Raw genomic sequence first — 18,200 nt, forward strand, 5'->3', positions numbered from 1 at the left:
GGAAAGGGAGGGGCAGGGGCAGCAGCAACCGGGTTTTACCCGCCCCCGGGGGCTCGCGCGCCGGGCCTCGCGCCTGGCGCCTCGCGGGGCTCCCAGCGGCCTCCCGCCTTCCCCGCGCCGCCCGGGGCGCACGCGCAGCCCGGCCCACCCCCGGATCTCCTCGCTCACGCGCGGCGCAGGCGCGCGTACGTGACCGCGGGCCGCCTCACGCCTCCCAGAGCGGCCTCGCGCGTGCCTCCTGGCCGCGCGCTCTCGGCTGCTTCTCCGAGGGGCGGGGCTTGCCGCGGGCGGGAAAGGAGGCGGTTGGTCGCCATTTTGGGAGGGGGCGGTTGAGGGCGGAGAGTGAGAAGAGTGAGCCGGGGAGGAGCGGCGGGGGGAGGGGCCAGTCCCCCAAGACCCGCATCCCGAGGCCGAGAGTCCCGGGAGCCTCCACTCCAGCCATTGTTCCTGGTGGGCGGTGTTAGAACGCGGTGGCGGCCGCTGGATGGCTGCCCCCAGTCCCCGGAGGGGCCTCTGAGCAGCGTCCTGGTGCTGGGAGGCCGTATCGTCTGTTTCCGAGGACCCTGTCGCGAGCGCGGGAGTCTCTCAGGGTCTCTTCTGCGTCATTGGGTGGGGGAGATGTGGGGCGAGCTGCTCCTCCCTTTTTTTAAAATTTTTTTCAGAGACAGGGTCTCTCCCTGTTCCCCAGGCTGCGATCACGGCTGCCGCACCCTCCCCTTCCTGGGCTCAGGCGATCCTCCTGCCTCAGTCTCTTGAGTAGCAGCGACCACAGGCGGGCGCCGCCACACCTTGCTAATTTTTACATTTTTTTTAGAGATAAGGTCTCGCCATGTTGCCCAGGCTAGCCTGGTTCCCCTGGGCTCAAGCGATCCTCCTGCCTCAGTCTCCCAAAGCATTGGGATTATAGGTGAGAGCCACCGCGCCCAGCCTATTCCTCCCTTCTTTGGGGAAAGGCTGAGCCATCTGGGGCCCCTGCTCCGTGCTGAGCTGTGTTGGGAAGGGCGGTAGGCCCTGGTGCCGACTGGCCAAGGACCATCTTTTTTTTCTTTTTTTTTTTTTTTGAGACAGGGTCTTGTTCTGCCGCCCAGGCTGGAGTTCAGTGGTGCGATCTCGGCTCACTGCAATCTCCGCCTCCCGGGTTAAAGCGATTCTCCTGTCTCAGCCTCCCGAGTAGCTGGGATTACAGGCACGTGCCACCACGCCCGGCTAATTTGTTGTATTTTCAGTAGAGACGGGGTTTCACCATGTTGGCCAGGCTGGTCTTAAATTCCTGACCTCGGGTGATCAGGTGATCCGCCTGCTTCTGCCTCCCAAAGTGCTGGGATTACAGACCTGAGCCACCGTGCCCGACCTGGCCAAGGGGTTTGAACTGTCCTGCAACTGAGGCAGATAATTCATTCCTTAGAAACGGAGTGCTGAAGATCTGTGGAGAATGAGAGCAGATTAGTGGTTGCCCGGGGTGGAAAGGGGCATCGCGGATCTTATCTGGGTAATGGAAATATTCTAAAACTGAGCTATGGGCCAGGCGTGGTGGCTCACGCCTGTAATCCCAGCTCTTTGGGAGGCCAAGGTAGGAGGATCCCTTGAGCCTAGGAGTTTGAGACCAACCTGGGCAACCTAGTGAAACCCTGTCTCTAAAAAAAAAAAAAAAAAAAAATTAACTGGAGATGGTGGCATGCGCCTGTAGTCCCAGCTACTTGGGAGGCTGAGGCAGGAGGATCGCTTGAGCCTGGGAGTCCAAGGCTGCAGTGAGCTATATGATCAGGCCATTGCACCCCAGACTGGGGGATAGAGCGAGACTCTGATGGGGGAAAAAAAGGGTTATGGTGATGGTTGCACAACTCAGTAAATTTCTAAAAATCAGTAAGTATACACTTAAGTGAGTGACTTTTATGTAAATTATACCTCAAAGTTTTTTTTTTTTTTAATTGATTATTGGGGGAGGAAACAGAGGAAAGAAGAGGGCCTGTCATCTTGCTTTAGGATCCCTTCATTTAGCAAGTTTTTATTGGGTCTCTGTTCTAGGTGCTCAGATATAGTGTCTGGGTCAAACAGACATTCCTCTCCTCCTGGAACTTATGTTTTAGAGCAGTGCTGTTCAGTAGTAATAAAATGCAAACTTCAAGCACCAGCCACTTATGTAATTTTACATTTTCTAGTAGCCATGTTTAAAAGGAACAAAATGTAAAGAAGGCAGGTGTGGCGGCTGGCACTTGTAGCCCAGCTACTTGTGAGGCTGAGACAGGAGGATCACTTGAACCCAAGAGTTGGAGACTGCAGTGAGCTATGGCCCTGTCTGTGTAGAGCCACTGCACCAGCCTGGGCAACATAGTGGGACCCATTCTCTTAAAAAAAAAAAAAAATGGCTTGGGACGGGTGTGGTGGTTCACACCTGTAATCTCAACACTTTGAGAGGCTGAGGCAGGAGGATTGCTTGAGTTCAGGAGGTCAAGACCAGCCTGGGCAACACACCCAAACCTAAAAATCAAATAAATAAAAGTAAATAATAAAATAAAAGAGAAAGAAACACAAGTGAAATTAATTTGGTAATATTTAATCCCAAATATTTCAACACATTATCAGTATAAAAACTAAGAGATAATTTACACTTTTGGGGCTGTCTTTAAAACCCCACATATACAGTATTTTACATTCACGGGACATCTCAATTCAGACCAGCCACATTTCCAGGGCTCCATGGAACCTTGTAGCGAGTGGCTCTGGTACTGACAGCATACCTCTACAGGGGGACAAGCAAATGCATTTACTTTTTTTGTTGTATTTTTTTGATACAGGGTCTCACTATGTCACCTAGGCTGAAGTGCATTGTTGTAATCATGCCTCGCTGCATCCTTGACTTCCTGGGCCCAAGCTATTATACCACCTCAGCCTCCTGAGTAGCTGGTACTACAGGCCTGCACCACCACACCCAGCTAATTTTTTGTATTTTTAGTAGAGACAGGGTTTTGCCATGTTGGCCAGGCTGGTTTTGAACTCCTAGGCTCAAGCAGTCTTCCTGCCTTGGCCTCCCAACATGCTGGGATTACAGGAGTGAGCCACCGTGCCTGGCTGCAAATACATTTATAATGCAGTATGTTATACCTTGAAGAAAAACAAAGGAAAGAGGATGGGGTCAGAGGGTATTGTTTTATACAGGTCAGTAAAGGCTTCTCTGGTGAGATTGCATTGAGCAGAGATCTGAAGGAAGTAAGGAAGGGTCCTATGAAAATATCTGGGGGAAGAAGAGAGGGAACAGCACGTGCACAGGCACTGAGGCAGGAAGATGTGGAACCCTTTTGAAAGACAGCAGAGAGGCCAGGCATGGTGGCTTATGCTTGTAATCCCAGCAATTTGGGGGGCCCAGGTAGGCTGATCACTTGAGCCCAGGAGTTCGAGACCAGCCTGGCCAACATGTTGAAACCCCATCTCTACTAAAAATACAAAAAATTATCTGGGCATGGTGGTGCACACCTGTAGTCCCAGCTACTCGGGAGGCTGAGGCATGAGAATCTCTTGAACCTGGGAGGCAGCGGTTGCAGTGAGCCGAGATCACGCCATTGTGCTCCATCCTTGGTAACAGAGTGAGACTCTGTCTCAAAAAAAAAAAAAAAATCAGAAGAAGAGAGACCAGTGTGGCCAGAACCACGTGAGTGAAGAAACTAGGGGCAGATGGCATAGGGACTTACAGGTCATGCTAAGGCAGGAATTAAACTCCTGGAAACAATTTCAGAGGGTTCTTCCTTTATTTAGCACACTTTTTGTTTTGTGGGGTTTTTTGTTTGTTTCTTTTATTTTCTTTCTTTTTTTCTTTTTTCTTTTTCTTCTTTTTTTTCTTTTGAGACAGAGTCGCGCTCTGTAACCCAGGCTGGAGTGCAGTGGCACCATCTCGGCTCAATGCAACCTCTGTCTCCTGGGTTCAAGTGATTCTCCTGCCTCAGCCTTCTAAGTACCTGGGATTACAGGCTCGTGCCACCACGCCCAGCTAATTTTTTGTATTTTTAGTAGAGACGGGGTTCCACCATGTTAGCCAGGATGGTCTCCATCTCCTGACCTCGTGATCCACCCGCCTCAGCTCCCAAAGTGCTAGGATTACAGGTGAGAGCCACTGTGCCTGGCCTTCTTTTCTTTTTCTTGTTTTCTTTTTTTTTTTCGCTTATTTAGCACACATTTTAAAAATGCTTTGTTTCAGCCATGTAATCTCTCTTCTTGATGGAGGAAATAAGGATCCTAGCCACTGGACAGATGAGAATCTAGTTAAAAAACAGGACTTAAGCTCCTGAAATAAATTAGCATCTTCTGTCATTGATAGACATTGAACACTTCATGGACACAGAAGATAAATGCAACACATAAACAAAAAATTAGCATTAGCCAAGCATGCTTGTAATCCCAGCACTTTGGGAGGCCAAGGCAGGTGGATCACCTGAGGTCAGGAGTTCGAGACCAGCCTGGCCAACATGGTGAAACGTCCATCTCCACTAAAAATACAAAACTTAGCCAGGTGTGCTGGTGCGTGCCTGTAATCCCAGCTACGCAGGAAGTTGAGACAGGAGAATTGCTTGAACCTGGGAGGTTGAGTCTGCAGTGAGCCGAGATCGCACCATTGCACTCCAGGCTGGGCAACAGAGCGAGACTCTGTCTCAAATAAAAAAAAGCATTTAGCATTTATTTTAAAGGCCTACAAATTAAGGTGACAACCTAATAAAAAAAAAGAATATAAGATTTGAAGAGGCACTTCATACAAGAGGAAACATGAAGTGAGGACTAACCACAACAACAAGAGAATGCAAATTAAAACCAAAGATACCGCAGCACACCTACCACTTCGGTGAATCAAAAAACATTTTTTTTTTTCTGTTTGCTGAAGCAAGACGAACTGAGTATACAGGACTAGTGACAGGTAAAATTGGTAGAACCACACTGACAAACCCAGGGGTTAACTCTAGAAAACTTCTTGATCATGTGCGCCAAGAGATGCAACAGAAGAACAAGCAGCAATGTTTGTAATAGCAAAAAAAAGAACAGAAAAGAAAGGAAAGAAACAGATTGGATCCTGGATTCTGGATTGAATAATCCTGGAACAAGATAAATAAATAAATAAATAAATAGGCCAGGCATGGTGGCTCACGCCTGTAATCCCAGCCCTGTGGGAGGCCGAGGCAGGTGGATAACTTGAGGTCGAGAATTTGAGACCATCCTGGTCAACATGGTGAAACCCCATCTCTACTAAAAATATAAAAATTAGCTGGGCATGGTGGTAGGCACCTGTAATCCAGCTAAGGCTTAGGAGGCTGAGGCAGGAGAATCGCTTGAATTTGGGAGGTGGAAGTTGCTGTCAGTGAGCTGAGATGGTGCCACTGCACTCCAGCCTGGGAAACAGAGTGACAGTGACTTCATCTAAAAAAAAAAAAAAAGACATTACTTAAAAAACTAGAGAAATCTCCAACAAAGGCCAGGCATCTGTAATTCCAGCACTTTGGGACCCCAAGGCAGGAGGATCACTTGAGCTCAGGAGTTCAAGACCACCCTGGGCAACTTGGTGAGATCCTGTCTCTACGAAAAAATTTTAAAAGTTACCCAAGCATAGTAGCACACACCTGTGGTCCCAGCTACTCCACAGGCTAAGGCGAGAGGATTGCTTTAGCTCAGGACTGCATTCCTATCTGGTTAACAGAGCAAGACTGTCTCAAAAAAAAAAAAGAAAAAATCTCAACAAAGATTGGAATTTAGTTAATAGTAATGTATCCACTTTTTGGGGTTTTTTTTTTTTTTTGAGACAGAGTCTCGCTCTGTCGCCCAGGCTGGAGTGCAGTGGCGCAATCTCAGCTTGCTGTAAGCTCCGCCTCCCGGGTTCACGCCATTCTCCTGCCTCAGCCTCCCGAGTAGCTGGGACTACAGGCGCCCGACACCACGCCCAGCTAATTTTTGTATTTTTAGTAGATGGGGTTTCACCGTGTTAGTCAAGATGGTCTCGATCTCCTGACCTCGTGATCTGCCGGCCTCGGCCTCCCAAATGCTGGGATTACAGGCGTGAGCCACCACGCCCAGCCTTTTTTTTTTTTGAGATGGAGTCTGGCTCTGTCTCCCAGGCTGCAGTGCAATAGCATGATCTTGACTCACTGCAACCACCGCCTCCCAGGTTCTGCCTCAGCCTCCAGAGTAGCTGGGATTACAGGCGCCCGTCACCACACCCAACTAATTTTTATACTTTTAGTAGAGACGGAGTTTCACCATGTTGGCCAGGGTGGTCTAGAACTCATCCTGACCTCAGGTGATCCGCCCGCCTCAGCCTCCCAAAGTGCTGAAATTACAGGCATGAACCATTGCACCCCGCCTGTTTTGTGTGTGTGTGTTTTTTTTTTTTTTTTTTTTGAGACAGGGTCTCATTCTGTCGCCCAGGCTGCAGTGCAGTGGTGCCATCTGGGCTCACTGCAATCTCCGCCTCCCAGGTTCAAGCCATTCTCCTGCCTCACCCTCCTGAGTAGCTGGGACTACAGAAGTGCACCACCATGCCTGGCTTATACATTTTTTATTTTTTGGTAGTGACGGGGTTTCACTGTGTTAGCCAGGCTGGTCTCAAACTCCTGGCCTCAGGTGAGCCGCCTGCCTCGGCCTTCCAAAGTATGAGGATTTTAGGCATGAGCCACCGAGCCTGGCCAATGTTTTTGTAGTTTTGACAAATGTATAGTTGTGTCACTTAACAACGGAGATCTGTCTGAGAGATGTATCTTCAGGTGATTTTTTCCTTGTTGCGTGAACGTCGTAAGCTGTACAAACCCAGATGGTATAGCCTAGCACACAGCTAGGCTGTATGGTGTAGCCTATTGTTCCTAGGCTACAAACATGCAGCATGCAACTGTACTGAATACTGTAGGCAGCTGAAACACAAAGGTAAGTATTTGTGCATCAAAACATAGAAAGGTACAGTAGACCAGGCGTGGTGGCTCATGCCTGTAATCCCAGCACTTTGGAGGCCGAGGCAGGTGGATCACCTGAGGTCAGGAGTTCGACACCAGCCTGGACAACATGGTAAAACCCCATCTCTACTTAAAATACAAAAATTAGCCAGGTGTGGTGGCAGGCACCTGTAATCCCAGCTACTTGGGAGGCTGAGGCAGGAGAATCACTTGAACCTGGGAGGCGGAGGCTGCAGTGAGCCGAGACCTCGCCACTGTACTCCAGCCTAGGCGATAGAGCGAGAGTCCATCTCAAACAAAAAAGAAAAGAAAAGAAAAGAAAAAAGAAAAGGTACAGTAAAAATACAGTATTATAATCTTACAGGACCTCTGTCATATGTGTAGTTCTTATTGGCCAAAACGTTGTTATGTGGCACATGACTGTCCTGTGATAAAGTAAGATGCCAACATCAGGGAAAGGGTGAGGGGGATGTGGTAACTCTTTGTACCATCTTTCCAAGTTTCCAGTAAATTTAAAATTACTCCAAAATAAAAAGTTTAGGGTGAAAAAAGAAGGAAAGGAAATGAAAATGTCCACCTATAGGAGACTGGATAAATCGTGGTATAGTTATTCAATGGAGTATTATGCAGCAGTGAAAATGAGTCAATTTCCATTACACACAGCAACACAGATGTGCTCCCATTTACATATAACATTTCAACAGGGTGTGGTGAATCGTGTCTGTAATCCCAGCACTTTGGGAGGCCGAGCCAGGAGGCATCACTTGAGGCCAGGAGTTCAAGACCAGCCTGGACCACATGGCAAGAAAAATTAAAAATAAACTGGGCATGGTGGCGTGATCTGCCTGTAGTTCCAGCTTCTCAGGAGGCAGAGGTGAGAGGAACACTTGAGCCCTGGAGGTCGAGGTTGCAGTGAGCCATGATCCCACCGCTGCACTCCAGCCTGGGCAACACAGTGAGACTCTGTCTCAAAAATAAATATCATTTCAAAACACAGGCAAAGCTAAACAATAAGCAGTTTAGGGACATAGATAGAATTATTATTTTTTTTAAAGTAAGGGAGCCAGGCATGGTGGCACACACCTGTGGTCCCAGATACTCGGGAGGCTGAGGCAGGAGGATCACTTGGGACCAGGAGTTCTGGGCTGTAGTACACTATGCCAATGCAGGGTCCACGCTAAGTTTGGCATCAGTTTGGTGGCCTCCTGAGAGCGGGGGATCACCAGGTTGCCTAAGGAGGGGTGAACTGGCCCATGTTGGAAATGGAGCAGGTCAAAACTCCTGTGTTAATCACTGGTGGGATCATGCCTGTGCATAGCCACTGCACTCCATCCTGGGCAACATAGCAAGACCCTATCTCTTAAAAAAAGAAAAAACTAGCCAGATGTGGTGGCATGTGCCTATAGTCCCAGCTACTCAGGAGGCTGAGGTGGGAGGATCGCATGAGCCCAGGAGTCCGAGGTTGCAGTGAACTATGATTGTACCACTGGACTCCAGCCTGGTCTACAAAATGTGACCTTATCTCTCATAAACAAAACAAAACAAAATAAAATGGAAGCCCCTGAGAAGCTAAGGGAAAAGATGCTCTTCAGAAGGAGAGGGGTACACCCTGGCCGCAGGTTCCTCTTCTCTGCCAACCTTTTCCTGTTGTCTCCATCTATTCACTTTGTTCAGCATTGCTTTCTGTGATTTGTCTTTTGAATCACGTCCTTCAAGCATTCTCACACTCCTCACTCCTCTCGGCCTCTAAAGGACTCACCTGGCCAAACTCCAGCCATCCTCTTCTCTGTGCCAGCCGAGCCCAGCAGAAGGAAACCACCCAGCCAGCCCAACGGGTTTTACCTGAATCAGAGAAATCACAGGCCTCAGACAGGCGCAGGGCACTCTCTATGTGTCTCTGGTGTGCTTACATTTCCCCCCTGCCCTCCAGCCCATGACTAGGTCCCACACTTCCCTGTGCACATAGAAGCCATCAGAAGGGAACCCCCTTGTCATCTGTCCCTGTGATTCCCTCTCTCAAGGATTGGGGTCTCCCTCCCTCCTTCCTTCCTTCCTTCTTTCCTTCCTTCCTTCCTTCCTTCCCTGCCTCCCGCCCTTCCTTCCTTCCTTCTCTCCCTCCCTCCCTGCCTTCCTTCCTTCCTTCTTCCCTTCCACCTCCCTCCTTCTCTCCCTCTTTCCTCTTCCATTGAAGTTTCTCCTCCTCTCCTCCTCCTCCCCCCTCCTCCTCTTCCTCCTCCTTTTCCTCCTCCCCTCCTCCTCCTCTTCCTCTGCCTGTCCTCCTCCTCCCCTCCTCTTCATCCTCCCCTTGTCCTCCTCCTCTTCCTTTCCCCCTCCTCCTCCTCTTCCTTCCCCCTCCTCCTCCCCTCCTCCTTCCCTCCTCTTCCTCTCCTCCTCCTCTTCCTCCTGCCCTCCCCCCTCTTTCTCCTCCCTCCTCTTCATTTCCTCCTCTTCTCCTCTTTCTCTTCCTGTCTCCTATATCATTCATCATCTCTCTCTCCTTCTGCCAAATCATGCCCATCACTATCCTCAAATGCTCCTGCCTCTTCCATTCATTTTTTAAAAAGAATTCCTCCCTTGAGGGAACCGAGAGATAAGAGAGACTGTAGCCACAAATCAACCACATGCAACCCAAGGACTTTGGATGCTGAGTCGAACAGACCAATGTTTTGTTTCGTTTTGTTTTTAAATTATCAGACAAGTAGAGAAATCTGAACTCTGACTGCCTATTCGATGATAGGAAAGAATTATGGTGCATTTTTTAGATGGATCACGGGATTGTGGTTATATTTCTATAAACAAACCTTATCTCCAGAGATATGAAATGAATAATCTGTACATGAAATGATGTGATGTCTGGGATGTGTTTTAAAACTATCTAGTGGGGTGAGGGTGGGGCCAATGAGAGACGGTAGAAATGAAACAGCATTGGCCATGAGTTGATAATTGGTGAGGCCCAGTGACCGGCATGTGGAGTTAATCATACTCTTTTATTTTTATATATATTTGAAAATGGGCTTATTTAAAAGTGATGTAAAAATTCCTCTCTTTGGCTGGCTGCAGTGGCTCACACCTGTAATCCCAGCACTTGGGGAGGCCAAGGTGGGCAGATCACCTAAGGTTGGGAGTTTGAGACCAGCCTGATCAACGTGGAGAAACTCTGTCTCTACTAAAAATACAAAATTAGCCAGGCGTGCTGGTGCATGCCTGTAATCCCAGCTACTGGGGAGGCTGAAGCAGGAGAATTGCTTGAACCTGGGAGGTGGAGGTTGCAGTGAGCCAAGATCACACCACTGCACTCCAGCTTGGGTGACAGAGACTCTGTCTCATAAATAAATAAATAAATAAATAAATAAATAAATAAATAAATAAAATACAACAAAATCACACAATAAAATCCAACATCCCTCGCCACATCCTGTAAATCTGGTCTGTCCACCCTCTGGCCTCACCTCCACTCTCTGTTCAGGCTTGCTCTCCTCCAAGCACACCAACAGAGCAAGTTCCTATATGCTGTTCCCTCTTTCCAGAAGATTCACCTGGCTTCTTCCCTCCCCTCCTCAGTCTATGCTCAATTGTCCCCTGCTGGGAGGTTCCTTCCACTGACTATTCTCTCCAGTTTATTTTCTTCGGGAAGCTCATCTCTACCTGACATCACGTCACACCTGGTTGTTTGTTGATCGTCAGTCTCTCTGCTAGAATGTAAGCTTCATGCTGGCAGGGGCTTTGTCTGTTTTGTTGCCTAGAACAGTGCCTGGCACGCAGTAGATAATTAATTTTTTTTTTTTTTTTAGAGATGGCATTTTACTCTGTTGCCCAGGCTGGTCTGAAACTCCTGAGCTCAAGCGATCCCCCCACCTCAGCCTCCCAAAGTGTGTGAGCCACTGCACCCAGCTAATAATTAATACTTTTTAATTTTTTTTGAGACAGGGTCTCACTCTGTGGCCCAGGCTGGAGTGCAGTGGCACAATCAAAGCTCACTGCAGCCTTGACCTCCCCAGGTTCTGGTGATTCTCCCAGCTCAGCCTCCTGAGTAGATGGGACTACAGGCATGCACCACCATACCCAGCTAATGTTTGTGTTTTTTGTAGAGACAGGGTTTCGCCATGTTGCCCAGGCTAATCTCAAACTCCTGGGCTCAAGCAATCTACCCACCTTGGCCTCCCAAATATTACTTTTAAAATAAATGAATTTAAATCTGCCAGTCTCTGACAAAATCTTATTTGGCCACAGTTGCTTTGGATGTAAAAACATGCATAAGTAAGGCTGGGTGCAGTGGATTTACCCAGACAGAGCATTACCCAGCATTTACCCAGACAGAGCCGGACACGATGGCTTATACCTGTAATCCCAGCATTCTGGGAGGCTGAGGTGGGTGGATCAATTGAAGTCAGGAGTTCAAGACCAGCCTGGCCAGCATGGTGAAACCCTGTCTCTATTAAAAATACAAAAATTAGCTGGGTGTGGTGGCTTGCGCCTGTAATTCCACCTACTCAGGATGCTGAGGCACGAAAATCGCTTGAACCCAGGAGGTGGAGGTTGCAAGGTTGCAGTGAGCTGAGATCGCACCACTACATTCCAGCCTGGGTGACAGAGTGAGACTCTGTCTCAAAAAAAAAAAGATGTGGCTGGGCATGGTGGCTCATGCCTGTAATCCCAGCATTTTAGGAGGCCGAGGTGGGCAGATCACTTTAGGTCAGGAGTTCAAGACTCAGGAGTTTGAGACTAGCCTGGCCAACAAAGTGAAACCCCATCTCTATCCAAAATACAAAAATTAGCTGGGTGTGGTGGCACACACCTGTAATCCCAGATACTCGGGAAGCGGAGGCATGAGAATTACTTGAACCCAGGAGGCGGAGGTTGCAGTGAGCTGAGATTGTGCCACTGCACTCCAGCCTGGGTGGCAGAGTGAGACTCTGTCTTAAAAAAAATAAAAACGGCTGGGCACGGTGGCTCACGCCTGTAATCCCAGCACTTTGGGAGGCCGAGGCGGGCGGATCACGAAGTCAGGAGATCGAGACCATCCTTGCTAACACAGTGAAACCCTGTCTCTACTAAAAATACAAAAAATTAGCCGGGCGTGGTGGTGGGCGCTTGTAGTCCCAGCTACTCAGGAGGCTGAGGCGGGAGAATGGCGTGAACCTGGGAGGCGGAGCTTGCAGTGAGCTGAGATTGCACCACCGCACTCCAGCCTGGGCAACAGAGCAAGACTCCGTCTCAAAATAAAAATTAAAATTAAAATTAAAAAATAAAAAATAAAAACATACATAAATAAAACACCGTCTTCCATCTTCAGCTCAGTCTACATGGTTTCTGTCATACCACTCCTCTATTTGTCATGTCCAATGGTGGGGGAGATCATCTCAATCTTGATGAAACCACTCCTATACATTTTATAAAGTTAATCAGGACAGGGAGAAATGAAAATAAACCCAGCTGGCTGGGCGTGGTGGCTCACGCTTGTAATCCCAGCGCTTTGGGAGGCCCAGGCGGGAGGATCACCTGAGGTCAGGAGTTCGAGATTAGCCTGGCCAACGTATAAAACCCCGTCTCTACTAAAAATACAAAAATTAGCCTGGTGTGGTGGCATGTGCCTGTAGTCCCAGCTACTCGGGAGGCTGAGGCAGGAGAATCGCTTGAACCTAGGAGGCAGAGGTCACAGTGAGCCAAAATTGTGTCACTGCACTCCAGCCTGGGTGACAGAGTGAGACTCTGTCTCAAAAAAGAAAAAAAAGAAAAGAAAAAAAAGAAAAGGAAAAAAAAGAAAAGAGGCCCATCTTCCGCACACTCAGCATTAATTGTGAGGCCAGCTGGCTCTCTGACCTGTTTCCCCACAATTGTTTTGTGCCTATTGTCCTAAAATCATGTAGACCTTGTTACCAGATTCTACTTCCCCTCAACTGCTCTGTAAATGACAACTTAAACATGATAAAACGTTAAGTTTTCTTTTTGAGATGTTCCCTCAGGTCCTGCATGCTGATGAAATGACTCTGCCAGCTGATCTGAGGGACCCCATGAGATGCTGACTCACCAAAGCATGCGATTTCCACGTTTGGGATTATTTCACTCCTTTCCCTGACCAATCAACAGGGCCAATTCTCCAGTCCTTTGTCCTTCATGATCACCTCAAAAATCCCAGCCCAGAACTCCTCGGGAAGACGAATTGAGGGTCTGCTTCCCTCTCCTCCCTCAGTGCCCCACAATCATTAGATCCTTTCTCTGCTGCAAACCCTGCTGTCTCTGTGCAATTGGTCTGTTGCTGCACAGCAGGCATACAAACCTGTTGTTCCTGTAACACTGAGGGAGGGTATGGAACCCAGGGGTTGGGGGACTGAAAGGGCCTCATATGGGAGGGGACAGGTTCTTACGAGACCGTCGGTAGCAGGGGTCTTCATTGGCCCTGTCCTTCCTAAAGCAGCCTCCTCTAAGCTGACTTGATGCCACACAAGTCTGTTCTCCTCCTAGGAAGAAGTCGCTGTTGGCAACATCCCCACCCAGCCCCACTCTCCTATCCCCCAGCTGCTAGTGGCTCCCAGCTGTCCCTCCAAGGCAAGTTTCCTTCAGCAAAACCACCTCTCCTGGGAGGCTACACCTGGTAACCCCCAGCCACTGGCCGACTGACCAGCCTGGGCAACATAGCAAGACCTTATCTCTACTAAAATTTTTTTTGAAAGTTAACAAGGCATGGTGACATGTGCCTGTAGTCCTAGCTACTTGGGAGGCTGAGGCAGGAGGATCCCTTGAGCCCAGGAGTTCGAGGATGCAGTGAGCCACGATTATGCCACTGCACTCCAGCCTCAGTGACAGAGTGAAACCCTGTTTCTTTTTTTGTTTTTGTTTTTTTAGACGGGGTCTCATTCTGTCACCCAGGCTGGAGTGCAGTGGCATGATCTCGGCTCACTGCAGCCTCTGCCTCCCAGGCTCAGGCGATCCTCTCACCTCGGCCTCCTGAGTAGCTGGGACTACAGGCTCGTGACACCATGTCTGGCTAATTTTTTTTACTTTTATTTTTTATTTTTGGTAGAGACAGGGTTTCACCATGTTGCCCAGGCTGGTCTTGAACTCCTGAACTGAAGCAATCCACCTGCCTTGGCCTCCCAAAGTGCTGGGATTACAGGCATGAGCCACTGTGCCCAGCCAAGAGTGAGACCCTGTTATTAAAAAAAAATTAAAAAAAGAAAATTAAGGGAGAGGGAGAGAAGGAAAAAGAAATAATTTTGGATTTCCTTTGTCATTCAATAAGTACTAAACTATGAGGTGTTGGGGTGGCCATATTTCTATATCTGATCTTAGCATCTCCCTTTTACCAGTTAGCTACAGCTGTGTAACAAATCACCAAAAAACATAGTGGCATAAAATAACAACCATATTTTTTTTTTCTCATGTGTATTTGAGTCCTCAAGATTATCCTGGTGACCCGGGCCAGGCTCAGATGACCTTGGCTGGGCTCACTCATGCATCTGTGGTCCTCTGGTGGGTTGACCAGAGACTGGCTGGTTTGGAATGCCTTCAGCTGGGATGACTCAGTTCTTCCCTACCTTTCTCTCACATTCCTCCAGCAAGCTGGCCCACACATGTTCTCATGGCGAAGACAGAGGAGCAAGAGATAGAAGAGAAATACGCAAAGCCCAAGGCCTGTTCATGAAGCTGGTACATTTTTGTTCTTTTTTTTGTTTGTTTGTTTTGTTTTGGAGACAGAGTCTCACCGTGTCACCCAGGCTGGAGTGCAATGGTGTGATCTTGGCTCACTGCAACCTCTGCCTCCTGGGTTCAAGCAATTCTCCTGCTTCAGCCTCCCAAGTAGCTGAGATTATAGCTGTGTGCCACCACACCTGGCTAATTTTTGTATTTTTAGTAGAGACGGGGTTTTGCCATGTTGGCCAGGCTGGTCTCCAACTCCTGACCTCAAGTGATCCGCCTGCATCAGCCTCCCGAAGTGCTGGGATTACAGGCGCGAGCCACCACGCCCGGCCTGGGCTTCTACTTTCTCACTCCTCTTCCCAGTCAGTCACCATTCTACCTTTTTGTGGGTCAGTCCTCTTGTTTCCATCCCCACGCCTCCACACTGGTCCAGGCCACCATCACTTCTCGCCTGGACCGACAATGACAATGACACATAAGGGTTGGAGGTGGAGGTTATGGGGTGGGGGTTGGCCCTGGGTTTCAATCCTGGTTCTGCTGTGTAGTAGCTGAGTGCCCTCAGGAGAGTGACTTTACCTCTCTGTGCCTCAGTTTCCTCCTCCATAAAGTGGGGATGATTAGCTGGGCATAGTGGTGCGTGCTTGTAGTCTTAGCTACTCAGGAGTCTGAGGCGGGAGGATCCCTTGAGCCCAGGAATTTGAGGTTGCAGTGAGCTATGATTGCGCCACTGCACTCCAGCCTAAGTGACAAAGCAAGAAACTGCCTAAAAAAAAAAAAAAATAGGCCAGGCATGATGGCTCACACCTGTATTCCAAGAGCTTTGAAAGACCCAGGTGGGGCCAGGTGCAGTGGCTCACACCTATAATCCCAGCACTTTGGGAGGCTGACACGGGTGGATCACCTGAGGTCAGGAGTTCGAGACCAGCATGACCAACATGGTGAAACCCCGCCTCTACTAAAAACACAAAAAATTAGCCGGGCATGGTGGCAGGTGCCTGTAGTCCCAGCTACTTAGGAGGCTGATGCAGGAGGATTGCTTGAGCCCAGGAGGCTGAGGTGCAGTGAGCTATGATTGAACCACTGCACATTCCAGCCTGGGTGACAAAGTGAGACCCTGTCTGTAAAATAAAAGTAAAAATAAATATGCCAGGTGCAATGGCTCATGCCTGTAATCCCAGCACTTTGGGGGACTGAGATGGGTGGATCACTTGAGGTCAGGAGTTTGAGACCAGCCTGGCCCACATAAGTGAAACCCTGTCTCTACTAAAATATACAAAAATTAGCCAGATGTGGTGGTGCAAACCTGTACTCCCAGCTACTCGAGAGTCTGAGGCACCAGAATCATTTGAACCTGGGAGGCAGAGGTTGCCATGAGCTGAGCCTGCACTCCAACCTGGGTGACAGAGTGAGAGTGTGTCTGAAAATAAATAAATAAATAAAATAAAAAGAACAGTGATTGGCACACAGTTGTCACGCCATAAATGTATTTACTGTTTGCAATAAGGAGAGGTTTGTTCTCAGGTAACAAAACATACACTAGAGCTATAATCATTAACACGGTGTGGTGTGGGGCACAAAAACCCACAAGTAGGCCAGGCATGGTGGCTTCCACTGTAATCCCAGCACTTTGGGAGGCCAAGGCAGGCAGATCTCTTGAGGCCAGGAGTTCGAGGCCAGCACGGCGAAAACCACATCTCTACCAAAAATACAAACATTAGCAGGTTGTGATAGTGAGTGCCTGTAGTCCCAGCTACTTGGGAGGCTAAGGCATGAGCATCGCTTGAACCCAGGAGACAGAGGTTGCAGTAAGCTGAGATTGTGCCACTGCACTCCAGCCTGGGTGTCAGAGGGAAACTCTGTCTCAAAATAAAGAAATAAAGAAATGGAAATAAAAATAATAAAGTGGGGATGAGGATAACACCTACTTGTAAGGTTGTTTCTTGAGGGGATCCAGAAAGTAACCATATCTGAAGAACTCAGGACTGTCCTGGGTTGTGTAATTGACTGGAATAAATGGCGGATGGGATGGTGTTGGGAAATTGATTCCGACTGATGGGCAAGGTTTGTGCTCAGCACATCCCTGGTCTCACACCAATCCTAGGAGTTAGTCCCATTTTTCTGACGCAGTAGTTGAGGCTTAAAGAAGTTCAGTCACATGCCCAAGGCCACAGTTCCTGAAAAGCTGGGCCAAGACTTGAACTGAGATCTTTCTGATTCCTAAGTTTCTCTTTCCTATTGTAAGCACCGGCTTTCTCCCTGGTCTCCCTGCTTGCCCTCTTATTCCCCCTCCGATCTTTTCTTCCCATGTCAGCCAAAGGGATTCCAGGAAAGGGCAAAGATGATTAAGTTTTTTCCTTCCTAAGATCCTTCGGCCATGTGACTTGATGCAATGTATGATCCTGTGTTGAATCCTGGGCTGGGGAAAACATTGCTATAAAGGATTTTATTGAGACAAACAGATTTGAATTTGTGGATTAAACAATTGTATTATTGTATCAACGTTTCATTTCCTGTTTCTGATTCTTGTTCTGGATTTTTTAAAGAGCATGTCTTTGTTTTTAGTAACGTCATGCTGAAGGATTTAGGGATCAAGGGACACGACGTCTTCCACTGCCTCTCAAATGTTCAGAAAAGAAACATACAGCAGAGGTGGCCAAATGTTACTGACTTGCGAATCCAGGAAAGATCTACTTACCTTTCTTGCTAGTTTTCTGTAAGCTTGAAATTATTGCTGGTAAAAAACAAAACAACAACAAAGCAAACCTTCATTCCACTCCTAGGTAGATATCCAAGAGAAATGAAAACATATATTGACACAAAAAACCTGTTATGGGTGGGTGTGGTGGCTCACACCTGTAAGCCCAGCACTTTGGGAGGCTGAGGCTGGTCAATCAGTTGACATCAAGAGTTTGAGACCAGATGGCCAACATGGTGAAACCCTGTCTGTACTAAAAATACAAAAAATAAAAATTAGCCAGGTGTGGTTGCGGGCGCCTGTAATCCCAGCTACTCGTGAGACTGAGGCAGGAGAATCACTTGAACCCAGGAGGTGGAGGTTGCAGTGAGCCGAGATTGCACCACTGCACTCCAGCCTAGGAGACAGAGCGAGACTCCGTCTCAAAATAAATATAAATAAATAAAAAAATAGGTGTTCAAACAATAACTTGTACATAAATGTCCATAGCAACACTATTCACAACAGCCAAAACAACACTATTCGCAACAGCCAAAAGAGAGAAACGTCCATCAACAAGTGAACTGATAAGTGAAATGTGGTCTATCCATACAATGGAATGTTATTCAGCCATAAAAAGGAATGAAGTACTTACTGATACTTTTTTTTTCTTTTTTTTTTTTTTTTGAGATGGAATTTCCCTCTTGTTGCCCAGGCTGGAGTGTAATGGCACGATCTCGGCTCACTGCAACCTCCGCCTCCTGGGTTCAAGCAATTCTCCTGCCTCAGCCTCCCGAGTAGCTGGGATTACAGGCATGCGCCACCACACCAGGCTAATTTTGTATTTGTAGTAGAGATGGTGTTTCCCCATGTTGGTCAGACTGGTCTCGAACTGACCTGAGGTGATCTGCCCGCCTTGGCCTCCCAAAGTGCTGGGATTACAGGTGTGAGCCACTGCGCCTGGCCAAAGT

General features: G+C 48.2%; 1 protein-coding gene and 1 pseudogene across 4 annotated transcripts in view, besides 1 other annotated feature; one reads left to right on the forward strand and one right to left on the reverse strand.

Annotated features, from left to right (window-relative positions):
- The window catches only part of ZNF541 (zinc finger protein 541), a 52,620-nt gene extending 52,354 nt beyond the window's left edge, over positions 1 to 266 (reverse strand). For 2 of the 4 annotated variants that reach the window (NM_001277075.3, XM_011527368.3), the window contains exon 1: positions 40 to 105. The gene's annotated coding sequence lies outside the window, so the exon portion shown is untranslated. Of the gene's footprint in view, positions 1 to 39; positions 106 to 168 lie in introns of those variants that run through there. The other 2 variants (XM_047439506.1, XM_011527369.3) reach the window with 2 other exon arrangements.
- Positions 4,832 to 4,911: an enhancer, noted in NCBI's record as "active region_14868". NCBI's record gives its function as "activates an Ori minimal core promoter by ATAC-STARR-seq in GM12878 lymphoblastoid cells {active_cell/tissue: GM12878}" and the evidence as "EXISTENCE:reporter gene assay evidence [ECO:0000049][PMID:35858748]".
- RN7SL322P (RNA, 7SL, cytoplasmic 322, pseudogene) lies at positions 7,980 to 8,278 on the forward strand (annotated as a pseudogene).

The sequence above is a fragment of the Homo sapiens genome, chromosome 19, assembly GCF_000001405.40.
Source record: "Homo sapiens chromosome 19, GRCh38.p14 Primary Assembly".
Classification (NCBI taxonomy): domain Eukaryota; kingdom Metazoa; phylum Chordata; class Mammalia; order Primates; family Hominidae; genus Homo; species Homo sapiens.